This window comes from Homo sapiens, chromosome 7, assembly GCF_000001405.40.
Source record: "Homo sapiens chromosome 7, GRCh38.p14 Primary Assembly".
Classification (NCBI taxonomy): Eukaryota; Metazoa; Chordata; class Mammalia; order Primates; family Hominidae; genus Homo; species Homo sapiens.
Genome location: NC_000007.14, coordinates 21832162 through 21844925, shown reverse-complemented (window position 1 = coordinate 21844925; position 12764 = coordinate 21832162). Strand labels below are relative to the sequence as shown.

At 37.5% G+C, this 12764-nt stretch overlaps 1 protein-coding gene across 1 annotated transcript in view; it reads right to left on the bottom strand.

The window, feature by feature from the left end:
* The window catches only part of DNAH11 (dynein axonemal heavy chain 11), a 358801-nt gene that overhangs the window by 56914 nt on the left and 289123 nt on the right, over window positions 1–12764 (bottom strand). Inside the window, exon 66 of the mRNA NM_001277115.2 lies at window positions 2178–2382. Coding sequence (NP_001264044.1) covers window positions 2178–2382 — 205 coding nt within the window. The remainder of the gene's footprint in view (window positions 1–2177; window positions 2383–12764) is intronic.

Sequence of the window (12764 nt, the reverse complement as noted above, 5' to 3'; positions counted from 1 at the left end):
TTCCACTGAATGTGAGCACATTTGTAAGGAGGCCTCAGGGAACCATATCCACTGATACCCAGCCTTGATCCCATGGCTGTCTTTGCCTACATGGCAACTGCTGCAGTGGCAAATCCAAGTAAAGCAGCCTCACACAGACTATGAGCATGGACCAGAATTTCCTGCATGGCTTAGTAAAACATGATTGCTGGACCCCCAACCAGAGTTTCTCATTTAGTGGGATCTGGGGTGTGGCCAGATAATTTGCATTTAAAGTGTATTTGTATCAGCACCAGCTGATGGTGATGCTGCTGTTCCAGGACCCCCAGTTTGAGAACCACTGATTTATACCAGGGTGGCAATCGTTTTCTGGAAAGGGCCAGATAATAAATACTTTTGGCTTTGTAGGCCATAAGGTATCTGTTGCAACTACTCAACTCTGCCATTATAGTGCAAAAGCAGTCATAGACAATATGTAAATATATGAACAAGTCCGTTTTTTGTTTGTTTTTGTTTTTGTTTGAGACAGAGTCTTGCTCTGTCCTCCAGGCTGGAGTGCAGTGGCACTATCCTGGCACACTGCAACCTCTGCCCCTGGGTTCAAGTGGTTCTTGTGCCTCAGCCTCCTCAGTAGCTGCGGCTACGGTTGCACACCACCACACTTGGCTAATTTTTTGTATTTTTAGTAGAGATGGGGTTTTGCCATGTTGGCCAGGCTGGTCTCAAACTGGCCTCAAGTGATCTTCCCTCAAGTGATCCAGCCTCAGCTTTCCAAAGTGTTGGTATTACAGGTATGAGCCACTGTGTTTGGCCATGGCTGTGTTTTAATAAATTTTATTAACCAAAAGAGGTGGCAGGCCAAATTAGGCATGGAAGCCACAGTTTGCGGACCCCTGATTTATACTAAGAAAAAGTATTCTAGCTTACTTCTTCAAAATATGAATAATGTTGTTCATCTGTGTGAAGAAATCCTTTCAAGTTCCAAAATGTAGGCCATAAATCTCTAACATCTGAAATATAAATCCTTGTTTTAATTCTTAATGTATCTCATTTAAATTTTTGAGACACACTATTGCCAAATTTGCCCAGGTTAGCACATAAATTCTTTTTATTTTTCACATCACCATTTCAATACTCAAATTTATTATTAGAAAGCTGGGCACAGCATGGCCGGGCGTGGTGGCTCATGCCTGTAATCCCAGCACTTTGGGAGGCTGAGGCTGGAGGATCACAAGGTGAGGAGTTTGAGACCAGCCTGGCAAATATGGTGAAACCCTATCACTACTAAAAATACAAAAATTAGCTGGGCGTGGTGGTGCATGCCTGTAGTCCCAGCTACTCGGGAAGCTGAGGCAGAAGAATCGCTTGAACCCAGGAGGCGGAGGTTGCAGTGAGCCGAGACCATGCCACTGCACTCCAGCCTTGGTGACAGAGCAAGACTCTGTCTCAAAAAAAAAAAAAAAACAAAAAAAACCTGAGCATAGCATTCCTTTATAGTTTTTAATCTGTGTGTAGTTATATGCCTTTGTCTTCCCTTACTTGCCTTTTATCTTTTATTCTTCACTAGTCCTTATGGAAGTATATCTACTATATCACTTCCTCACCCCTTCTTGCCAAAGAACTAGCTTTTTTATTTTGTTAATCTTTTGTCTATTTTCTATGTCAGTATTTTCTGATTTTATCTTTATTATTGCCTTTCTTCTACATTTTAAGGCTATGTTGCTTTGTTTTCTGTATATAACACTAAATTTCAGTATTTTCAGCATTGTTTCTTAATATACTTAAGGCCATGAATGTCCCTTTGAATACTAGTCACAACTAGCTACCAGGTCCTTAATTCTTCCAAGCTTGCTTCATTATACCTCTTTTTCATTCTTTAGCCCAGGCTAAATTAGTCGATTACATTCCAACATACCTGGGCACATACCTCTATTTTACATGACTCGTATGCCTCTTTGTTTGCCCTCAAACAAGATCCAGAGCCACCCTATCTCCTACGTGTGGCATAACCGTAACAATCTAGCATTTATGAAGAGCAACTTTGAATTGTTTAACTTTTAACATGTATACTTATTTTTCCCAATTAGGTTGCAGGATTCTAGAGGGCAGGAATCCTATTTTATACTTCTATGTCTAGCACTGTGATTTGTGCAAAGCAAATGCCGACTAAGTGTTGGTGGTGACGTAAACATTTTTACCTTAAGTTTCTCCAAATCTGGCCTTTCAATACTGACAACCTCTGCCAGCAGCTGGGCTTCTAGACCATCTTCTGTGACTGTGAAATTGAGGAGAGTTGTCTGAGCTTGTAATTCCGGCTTATAGTGAGGATTTGCCAATTTTGTGTGAAGGATAAGGCGAAAGTTCTTGTTAAATTCACATTCTTTATCTCCAATCCTGATATACCTAAACGGAGCAAAACACAGACTTTCAGGAGACTCCTATGACCCATAACTGATACTACGGTGTCATTCCATTCCTGTATTCTTATAATGGACCTTGGCCAGAAGCTCAGGTGATTGAGAATTTTTCAGCTACTCCCAAATTTCCTAAAGTACAGCAGGATCAGCAATCACCCAGCAAATCTCTATATGATTTAGTTTCCTCATATGTGAAATATTGACAATAATAGTACTCACCCCATAGTGTCACTGTAACAATTAAATACAATCATATAAAAGACCTATAACAACAAATATTAGCTTTTATTATTATACAGTAAGTCCTCGATGTAATCGATAAACTTGCAAACTGTGACTTTAAGCAAAACAACATATGAAGAAACCAGTTTTACCACTGACTAATTGATATAAACAAGAGTGAAGTTCCTATGGCATGTTCCTGGTCACAAAAACATCATCAAACTTCTAAATAAAGGCCTCAAACACCTCTAATATTAAACACTGAAATAAATGTGAGCTACATATACATTTTAAAAGGTTAATAAAAACAAGATAATTATTTACTCAATTTTTGGTGCATTAGTGAGAAATGGTGGGCATAGAGGGGGCAGGTTAAATTGAGAAATAAATGTGTACAAAGCAGAAAATCTTAAGCAGCACCTCCTACCACCACACAGTTCAAAAGCAATGACAGATCTGGCAGGCTTGAGAAGGGCTTTTGTAGTGCAATGTTCAGTGTCGTGCATTTGTATGATTATCGTCTAATTTACAAATTTTTATTTGACAATAGTTTGTATTCACTCATTCATTCCTTTTCTAACCCACTGATTCCAGTTCAGGCTCCCGGGTGGCTGCACACTACCCTGGAAACTCAGGGCACCAGGTGGGAACCAGCCCTGGACAGGATGTCATCCCATGGCAGGGACACTCACACACCCCCACACTCACTCACTCACACTGGGACCATATAGACATTCCAGCTCACCTAACATGCACAGCTGTGGGATATGGGAGGAAACAGGAGGAAAAGAGAAAACCCAGGCAGACATGGGGAACGTGTGCAAACTCCACACAGACAGTGGTCCCAGCAAGCAGGAAGTGATGTTTTTTTCCCTCATCAACATTAGCATGAAAGTATGTTATTTCAGGGCCAGCTGTACTTTCTGTGATTAAACATACATTAAATGTTGCAGTTCTTTAAGGATAAGATGTGTATGTATGTGTTTATGTATATCTGTATATATATGTATAATGCATCTTAAGTATGTATTTAATATACTTATGTATCTTAAATAACGTATTAAAATATTTTATTTTTATAAAGATGAAATATTAAAAACACATATATTCTTTTTTGTGTGTGTGTGACAGTGTCTCACTCCTTCACCCAGGCTGAAATGCAATGGTACAATTTTGGCTCACTGCAACCTCCACCTCCTGGGTTCAAGTCATTCTTGTGCCTCAGCCTCCTGAGTAGCTGAGATTACAGGTGCATGCCACCACGCCCAGCTAATTTTTGTATATTTTTAGTAGAGATGGGGTTTTGCCATGCTGGTCAGGCTGGTCTCCAACTACTGACCTCAGGTGATCCACCCGCCTTGGCCTTCCAAAGTGCTAGGATTACAGGTGTGAGGCACCTCACCCAGCCCAACACATATATTTAAAAAATTACTTTCCAATACTTTCTGCATTGGCTTCCTGTAACTGCAAATCCTTGTCTGCCTCAACATCTCTACTTAACCCTTTCCTCTGAAAATTATTTCTGTAAATAGTCACTAGGCTAATTCTATTCAAAACTCCCAGCTTAATTCATGTTATTTTTTTAATTTAAGGGTACGTAGTAATCATATGTATTTATGGGGTACATGAGATGTTTTCATACAAGCTTCATGGTCTCTTTCCTGCTAGGAACCTGCTATGAGGATCTAGTAAAGGGGGAGCTTTCTAATTCATGCAAGAGACAGAGAAGCCAAAACCACGAATACTGGAACTTCTCAAAGCGGCCTAAGCTGCTTAGAGTGAAACTTCTTATGAGGCCTAGAGGCATGGCTGCAGCAAACAGTCTCGGCTCAGTCTTCTATTTTACCTTACATATGAAAATTTTGGATTCTTCATTATTAAGTGTATAAAATATTTAAATTGTATAGATGTCATGATAGAAAATTAGCCAGAGCCCAATTATTTTAATTGAAATTATTTTAAATAGCCATGAGAAAAAAATATTTATTGCCTATCTCATTGACTTCCAGGTGAGATGTTATTTCACTGAATTTGTCAATTTTGAACAACTGGGAAAATTCTAAAGAAAAGATGTTCTATCGCATTCAGACAGGGCTCCTTTTTATCGAAATGTCACAATATTAGCAACAATTTTTAATTTGAGGAGTGATATCCAGAATGCCATAAAGTGGCAATGTTTTCTGTGGTTCTTGGATGATGTTTTATAATTGTGTCTTGCTCAGAGATTAGGTCTCTTGTGTCTATGGTAAGGAAAGTGCCTCTGAACCACTGGCTGTGTTATTTGACTGGAAACATTTTTAATGAGACAACTGGTTTTAATGTGTAAAGACTATTTAAAAATTAAAATTTTCTTACATTACTAAAGCTTTTGTTGCCTGAATATGAATTTAAAATCCCAAAGGACTGATCAGACTTATGACCTATTGTCTTCATCTAATTCTCAAATGTTGTTTTCCCTGCAGAGTGATCTTACACTGACAACAGAAACCTTCAGAGTTGTTGATTAAGTGTCTAAACTTGAAAAAATTCTGCCAGATAAGCCACTTTTGAAAACCCTATTAGTTGAATGGTGAATTTATTCACTTTATTCAGTTTGGATTTGTTTTTACCTTGTCAGTACCTCCTACTATTTAATTGTTTTCCAAGAGGAGAATAAGCAATTCAGCTAGCAACCCTCTTCTGCCCAAGCCAGTATATACCTGTGCATTACATACGTCCCCTTTTTTTTTTTTTGAAACGGAGTCTCACTCTGTCGCCCAGGTTGGAGTGCAGTGGTGTGATCTCGGATCCCTGAAAGCTCTGCCTCCTGGGTTCACGCCATTTTCCTGCCTCAGCCTCCTGAGTAGCTGGGACTACAGGCGCCCACCACCACACCCAGCTAATTTTTTGTATTTTTTAGTAGAGACAGGGTTTCACCATGTTGTCCAGGCTGGTCTCAAACTCCTGACCTCGTGATTTGCCCCCCTCAGCCTACCAAAGTGCTGGGATTACAGGCGTGAGTCACCATACCCGGTCGGCATCAACTTTTAATATAGTGATTTATTCTTCCATCTATTCAGCCAATAAATATGTATTCAGTCATGTTTCTATAATTTGATAGGCAAACAATGATCAAACATCTGTACAAGTGAAAGATGGGTAAAAGAACTAAATAAACATTTCTCCAAAGAAGAAACACAAATGACCAATAAGCATATGAAAAGATGCTTAATATCATTAGTCACCAGGGAAATGCAAATCAAAGCCTTAGTGAGGTACCAGTTCACACCAATGAGAATGACTATAATAAAAAAGCAAAGACAGTAACAAGTGTTGGTGAGGACATGGAGAAACTGGAGCCCTCATACACTGCTAATGGGAACATAAAATTGTGCAACCACATTGGCAAGCGGTTTGGCCATTCCTTAAAATTAGCATGGTGTGGTGGCACACACCTGTAGTCCCAGCTACTTAGGAGGCTGAGGTGGGAGGATCACCTGAGCCTTGGGAGGTCGAGGCTGCCGTGAGCTGTGATCAGGCCACTGCACTCCAGCCTGGGCAACAGAGACCCTGTCTCAAAAATAAATAAATAAATAAATAAATAAATAAATAGTTTAAAAATCCAAACAATGAAATATCATGGAAAAACCCACAATTACTTTTGCACCGACCTAATATTTGGCCATAGAATGGAATGAAGTATTGATACATGCTACGACACAAATGAAACCTGAAAATGTACAAAGTGAAAGAAGTCACAAAAGATCACATATTATATGACTCCACTTAGTGAAATGTCCAGAACAGGCAAATAAATACAGAAAGATACAGCAATTTCCATTTTAAAACAGATTGTGTTGATGTTGGCCCAACTCTGTGCATATACTAAAAACCACTGAATTACACACTTTGAGTGGGTGAATTATATAATATGTGACTTATATCTTGATAAGGATGCTACCAAAAAAAGGGAACAATTATCAGAGGTCAAATCATTAACATTTGGGCTTTTATCAGTCTGTAAGTTACCATGCTAATACAGTTTCTCAGAGGTTCACGCTTGTCTTTTGAGCATAGCAATGTGTATCACAGGATAATCTTGTTTGATAAGGACATCTTTCTAAATTAACCTGCCTCTTTTGATGGACAATCTATTCAAATATGTCTACAGTGGAGAGCATCATCAAAATTCCTTCTATTATTTGAGTTTCCTCTTTCCAAGGATTTCCAAAATGATCTCACAAGCAGCTTTGAGAAAATCTTTGTTAGTGCTATTCACTGTATAGTTCACGGCTAGTTCTTTTGACTCAGCCTAACTTCAGGATGTGTATGACTGACTTTTTTAAAAACTGTTTTTAATTGACACATAATTATACATATTTATGGGGCCCCATGAGATGTTTCAATACATGTATACATTGTATAATGATCAAATCATGGTATTTAGCATATCCATCATCTCATTGATCATTTCTTTGTGGTGGGAATATTCAGAATCCTCTCTTCTAGTTATGTTGAAATATACACTATAATATTGTTTACTATAGTCACCCTACTGTGCTACAGAACACCAGAACGTATTCCTCCTAACTAAAAACCACTGAATTGCATACTTCAAGTGGTCAAATGGTAATATAGTATGTAAATTATATCTTGATAATGGTGTTACCAAAAAAAAGTAACGATGATCTATTAAAATGATCAACGGGCAATTTTGTAACCATTGACCAATCTCTCCCCACCATCCTCCCTCCTTTTACCTCCCCTGCCTCTGGTAACCATTTTTCTACTCTACTTCCAAGATCAGCTTTTTTAGATAACACGAATGAGAGCAGGCAGTATTTGTCTTTTTATGCCTGACTTATTTCACTTAACATAATGCCCACCAGGTTCATCCATGTTGCCACAAATTACAGGATTTTATTCTTTTTTATGACTGAGTAGTATTCCATTGTGTATATATACCATACTTTCATTACGCATTCAACTGTTGATAGGTTGACTCCAGATCTTGGCTAATGTGAACAATGCTACAATAAACATGCAAGTGCAGATATCTTTTTGACATGCTGATTTCATTTCCTTTTGATACATCATAGTAGAACTGCTGGATCATACGGTAGTTCTTAGTTTTTCGAGGAATCTCTACACTCTTTTCCATAATGGCTATACCGATTTACATTTCCACCAATGGTGTATAAGCATCCCCTTTTCTCCACATCCATTCTAGCAATTGTTATTTTTTGTCTTTTTGATAATATCCATTCTAATTGGGGTGAAATGATATTTCATTATGGTTTTGATTTGCATTTCCCTGATAATTAGTGATGTGGAATATTTTTCATGTACCTGTTGGTCATTTGTATGTCTTCTGAGAAATGTCTATTCAAGTCCTTTGCCTGTTTTAGAATCACATCCTTTTCATTTTTTTGCTACTAAATTGAGTTCCTTATATATTCTAGATATTAAGCTCTTGACTGTCAGAGGCATATTTTGAACATATTTTCTCCCATTCTGCAGGTTGTCTCTTTACTCTGTTGGTTATTTCCTTTGTTGTGCAGAAGCTTTTTAGTCTGATGTAATCCCATTTGTCTATCTTTGCTTTTGCTGCCTGAGCCTCTGAGGTCTTACCCCAAAAATCTTTGTCCAGACCAATGTTATAAAGCATTCCCCTAATGTTTTCTTCTAGTAGTTTTATAGTTTCAGGTATTACATTTAAGTCTTTCATCTACTTTGAGTTGATTTTTGTCATTGATGATAAACAGGGGTCTAGTTTCATTTTTCTGCATGTGGTTATCATTTTTCCAGCACCATTTATTGAAGAGATTGTTCTTTCCACAATGTGTATTCTTGGTAACTTTGTTGAAAATCAGTTGACTATAAGTGTGTGATTTCTGGGATTTTTATTCTGTTTCATCTGTCTATGTGTTTGTTTTTACGCAAGTGCCATGCTCTTTTGGTGATACAGCTTTGTAGTATACTTTGAAGTCAGGTAGTGTGATGCCTCTAGCTTTGTTTTTTTTGCTCAAGGTTGGTTTGGCTATTTGGAGTCTTCTCTGATTCCATATAAATTTCAGGATGGTTTTATCTATTTCTGTGAAGAATGTCGTTGGTATTTTCATAAGGATTACATTGAACGTGTAGATCACTTTGGGTAGTATGGACAGTTTTACAATGTTAATTCTTTCAATCCATGAACAGGAAATATCTTTCCATTTGTCTGTGTCCTCTTCAATTTATTTCATCAATGTTTTGTAGTTTTCTTTGTAAGGATTTTTCACCTCCTTGGTTAAATTTCTTAGGTTTTTTATTTATTTGGTAGCTTTTGTAAATGGAATTGCTTTCTTGAATTTTCAGATAATATTGGTGTATAGAAACACTACTGACTTATGTATGTTGATTTTGTATCCTACAACTTTACTGAATTTGTTTATTAGTTCTAACGGTTTTTTTTTTTTTTGAGGAGTCTTTGGGGCTTTCTATATATACAATCATGTCATCTGCAAACAGGGACAATTTGACTTTCTTCTTTCCAATTTGGATGCCCTTTAGTTCTCTTACTTACTTGCTGCCTAGAACTTCCAGTATTGTGCTGAATAGAAGTGGTGGAAGTGAGAATCCTTGTCTTGTTTCAGATTTTACAGGAAAGGCTTTCAGTTTTTCCCTGTTTAATATGTTAGCTGTGGGTTTGTCATATATGGCCTTTATTGTTTTGAGGTATGTTCCTTCTATACACAATTTGTTGAGAATTTTCCTCATGAAAGGATCTTGAATTTTATCGAAGCTGTTTTCTGTGTTGATTGAAATAATTGTATGTTTTTTCCCCTTGATTCTGTTAATGTGATGTATCACATTTATTGATTTGTGTATGTTGAACCACTCTTGCATTCCTGGAATAAATTCCACTTGGTCATAGTGAATGATCTTTTTAATGTGCTGTTGAATTTTGATTGGTTTTATTTTGTTGAAGATTTTTATAGCTATGTTTATCAGGCATATTGGCCCATAAACTTTTGTGTATGTCCTTATCTGGTTTTAGTATCAGGGTGATGCTGGACTCAGGTTGAGTTTGGAAGAACTCCCTCTGTTTTTTTTTTTTTTTTTTGGAATAGTCTGAAAAGGATTGGTATTAGTTCTTCTTTAAATGTTTGATAGAATTCTGCAGTAAATGCATCAGGTCCTAGGGCTCTTCTTTGATGGGACACTTTTGACTATTGATTCAACCTCATTTCTCATTATTAGTTTGTTCAGATTTTCTCTTTCTTCATGATTCAATTTTGATAGGTTATACATGTCTAGGAATTTATCCAGTTCTTCTAGGTTTTCTATTTTGTTGGCATATACTTGTTCATAATAGTCTGTTATTACTGTGGTATCAGTTATGTTTTGTTTTTCGTCTCTGATTTGAAACTTTTGAAAATTTTAGTCTAAGTAGAGGTTTGCTGATCTTGTTTGTGTTATTTGTTTTTTTGGGACAGCATCTCACTCTGTCACCCAGGCTGGAGTGCTAGACTGGTATGCAGTGGTGTGATCATAGCTCACTGCAACCTTGAACTTCTAGGCTTGAGCTATCCCCCTGCCTCGGCCTCCAGGTAGTTAGAGCTACAGGCATGCATCACTATGCCTGGCTAATTTATCTTATAATTTTTAAAATTTTTCATAGAAATAGGGTTTCTCTCTGTTGACCAGGTTGATCTCAAACTCCTGTCCTCAAGCGACGCTCCTGCCTTGGCCTCCCAAAGTGTTGGAATTATAGCTGATTTTGTTTAACTTTTCAAGAAAACCAACTGTCTTGTTGATCTTTTGTATTTCTTTTATTCTCTATTTTGTTTTTTCTATTCTGATCTTCATTACTTCTTTTATTCTACTAATTTTGGGTTTAGTTTGTTCTTGTCTTTTTTAGATCCTTGAGGCATAACCATGGGTAGTTTGAGATCCCTTCAATTTTTCGATGTAGGAATTTATTCCCTCTTAGAACTGCTTTTGCTGTGTTCCATAGGTTTTGGTATGTGCTTCCATTTTTCTTTGTTTCAAGAAATCTATTTTAATTTCCTTTTTCTTTTTGACCCGTTTGTTGTTTAGGAGTACATTTTTTAATCTCCAAGTATTTGTATAGTTTCCAAAGTTTCTCCTGTTATTGATTTCTAGTTTTATTCTGTTGTGGTCACAAAAAAGACTTGACATAATTTCAATTGTGTAAAAAAATTTCGTTGGGACTTGTTTTGTGGCATAACATATGTCCTATCCTGGAGAAAATTGCATTTGCTGATGAGAAGAATATATATTCTGCGCTATTGGGTGGAATGTTCTGTAAACGTCTGTGAGGTCCATTTGGTCTAGAGTGTGGTTTAACTCTGATGTTTCTTTCTGATTTTCTATCTGGATGTTCTGTCCATTGCTGAAAGTAAGGTGCTGAGGTCCCCTATTATTATCGTTTTGCTGTATTGACTGACGTTTAAATGAAATTTCAAGAGTGAGGGTTTCATGTCATTAGGGCCTAGGGTTCTCACACATAAGAGATACCAACATTTATACTCATTTGCATCTCTACAATAAAACTTATATTTTAAATACACCTCTATGTGCATCCTGTGATTTTTTATTTTATTTATTTATTTTTATTTTTTATTTTTTGAGGTGGAGTCTTGCTCTGTTGCCCAGGCTGGAGAGCAGTGGCACGATCTTGGCTCACTGCAACCTCTACTTCCTGGGTTCAAGCGATTCTCCTGCCTCAGCCTCCCCAGTAGCTGTGATTACAGGTGTGTGCCATCATGCTGGGCTAATTTTTATCTATTTTTAGTAGAGACGAGGTTTCATCATGTTGGCCAGGCTGGTCTTGAACTCCTGACCTCAGGTGATCCATCCACTTTGGCTTCCCAAAGTGCTGGCATTACAGGCATGAGCCACTGTGCCCAGCCCATCCTGTCATCTTTTCATTGCCACTCTACCTTGGGTTGAATTCATTCATCCCCTTGTGGAGAGTCTTAGAGAAATTCCAGTGTGTCACCACCTTCTATCATTTCAGGTTGTTTGAATATTTCCTCACTTGCTTAAGAATTTTCACCAGGTTTATGTTCATACTTCATGAACTTCATGTTTCAACCACTAACATATATTCCCTGATGAAAAGAGAATTTATACATTCCTATAATTAAAAATTAAACAAATACAAAATGTAAATTTAAGTCAAGAACACTGAATCAGAGAAGTCTAGAATTTTTGTTATTGTTCAATGGGACAGTTCACTGTCATGGGATTGGGAACTATGGTAAGAAGTCAGGTTAATTTAGAGATTTGTGTGGTGTATGTGTATGTGTTTGTGTTTATGTGTGTGTATTCACATATGCATGAGAAGCGGCACAAACCACCAGCAAGATGATTAACTTATTTTTTAAAGTAGCAGGTGTTCAGGCTTCAATAAGAAATCCTTCTAGAGCAGGGGTTGACAAATTTTCCTGTAAAAGGATCAGAGAGTAAATATTTTAGGCTTTGTGCGTCACATACATCTCTGCCATATATTCTTCTTGTTTCCAATCCTTTAAAAGCCATTCTTGGTTCCCAGGCTGCACCAAAACAGGCCATTTGTCCACTGCCACTCTAGAGGATCACATTGGCTAACGGTGCTAGTGTAATCTCTTCTCAAAGCAATAGCAGCTAATTTTTCCAATTAGCCACTATATATAACGATGCTCCTTCCTCTAGGCTTTCAAGAATAAATGTGTGAGACTAGTCATCAGGAAGCATGAGGTTCTCAGACACAGATTGGCAAATTGGATAAAGAGTCAAGATCCATCAGTGTGCTGTATTCAGGAGACCCATTTCACGTGCAAAGACACACATAGGCTCAAAATAAAGGGATGGAGGAATATTTACCAAGCAAATGGAAAGCCAGCCAAACTAAGCTTCATAAGCGAAGGAGAAATAAAATCCTTTACAGACAAGCAAATGCTGAGAGATTTTGTCACCACCAGGCCTTTCCTGAAGGAAGCACTAAACATGGAAAGGAACAACCGGTGCCAGCCACTGCAAAAACATGCCAAATTGTAAAGACCGTCGACATATGAAGAAACTGCATCAACTAACAGGCAAAACAACCAGCTAGCATCATAATGACAGGATCAAATTCATACATAACAATATTAACCTTAAATGTAAATGGACTAAATG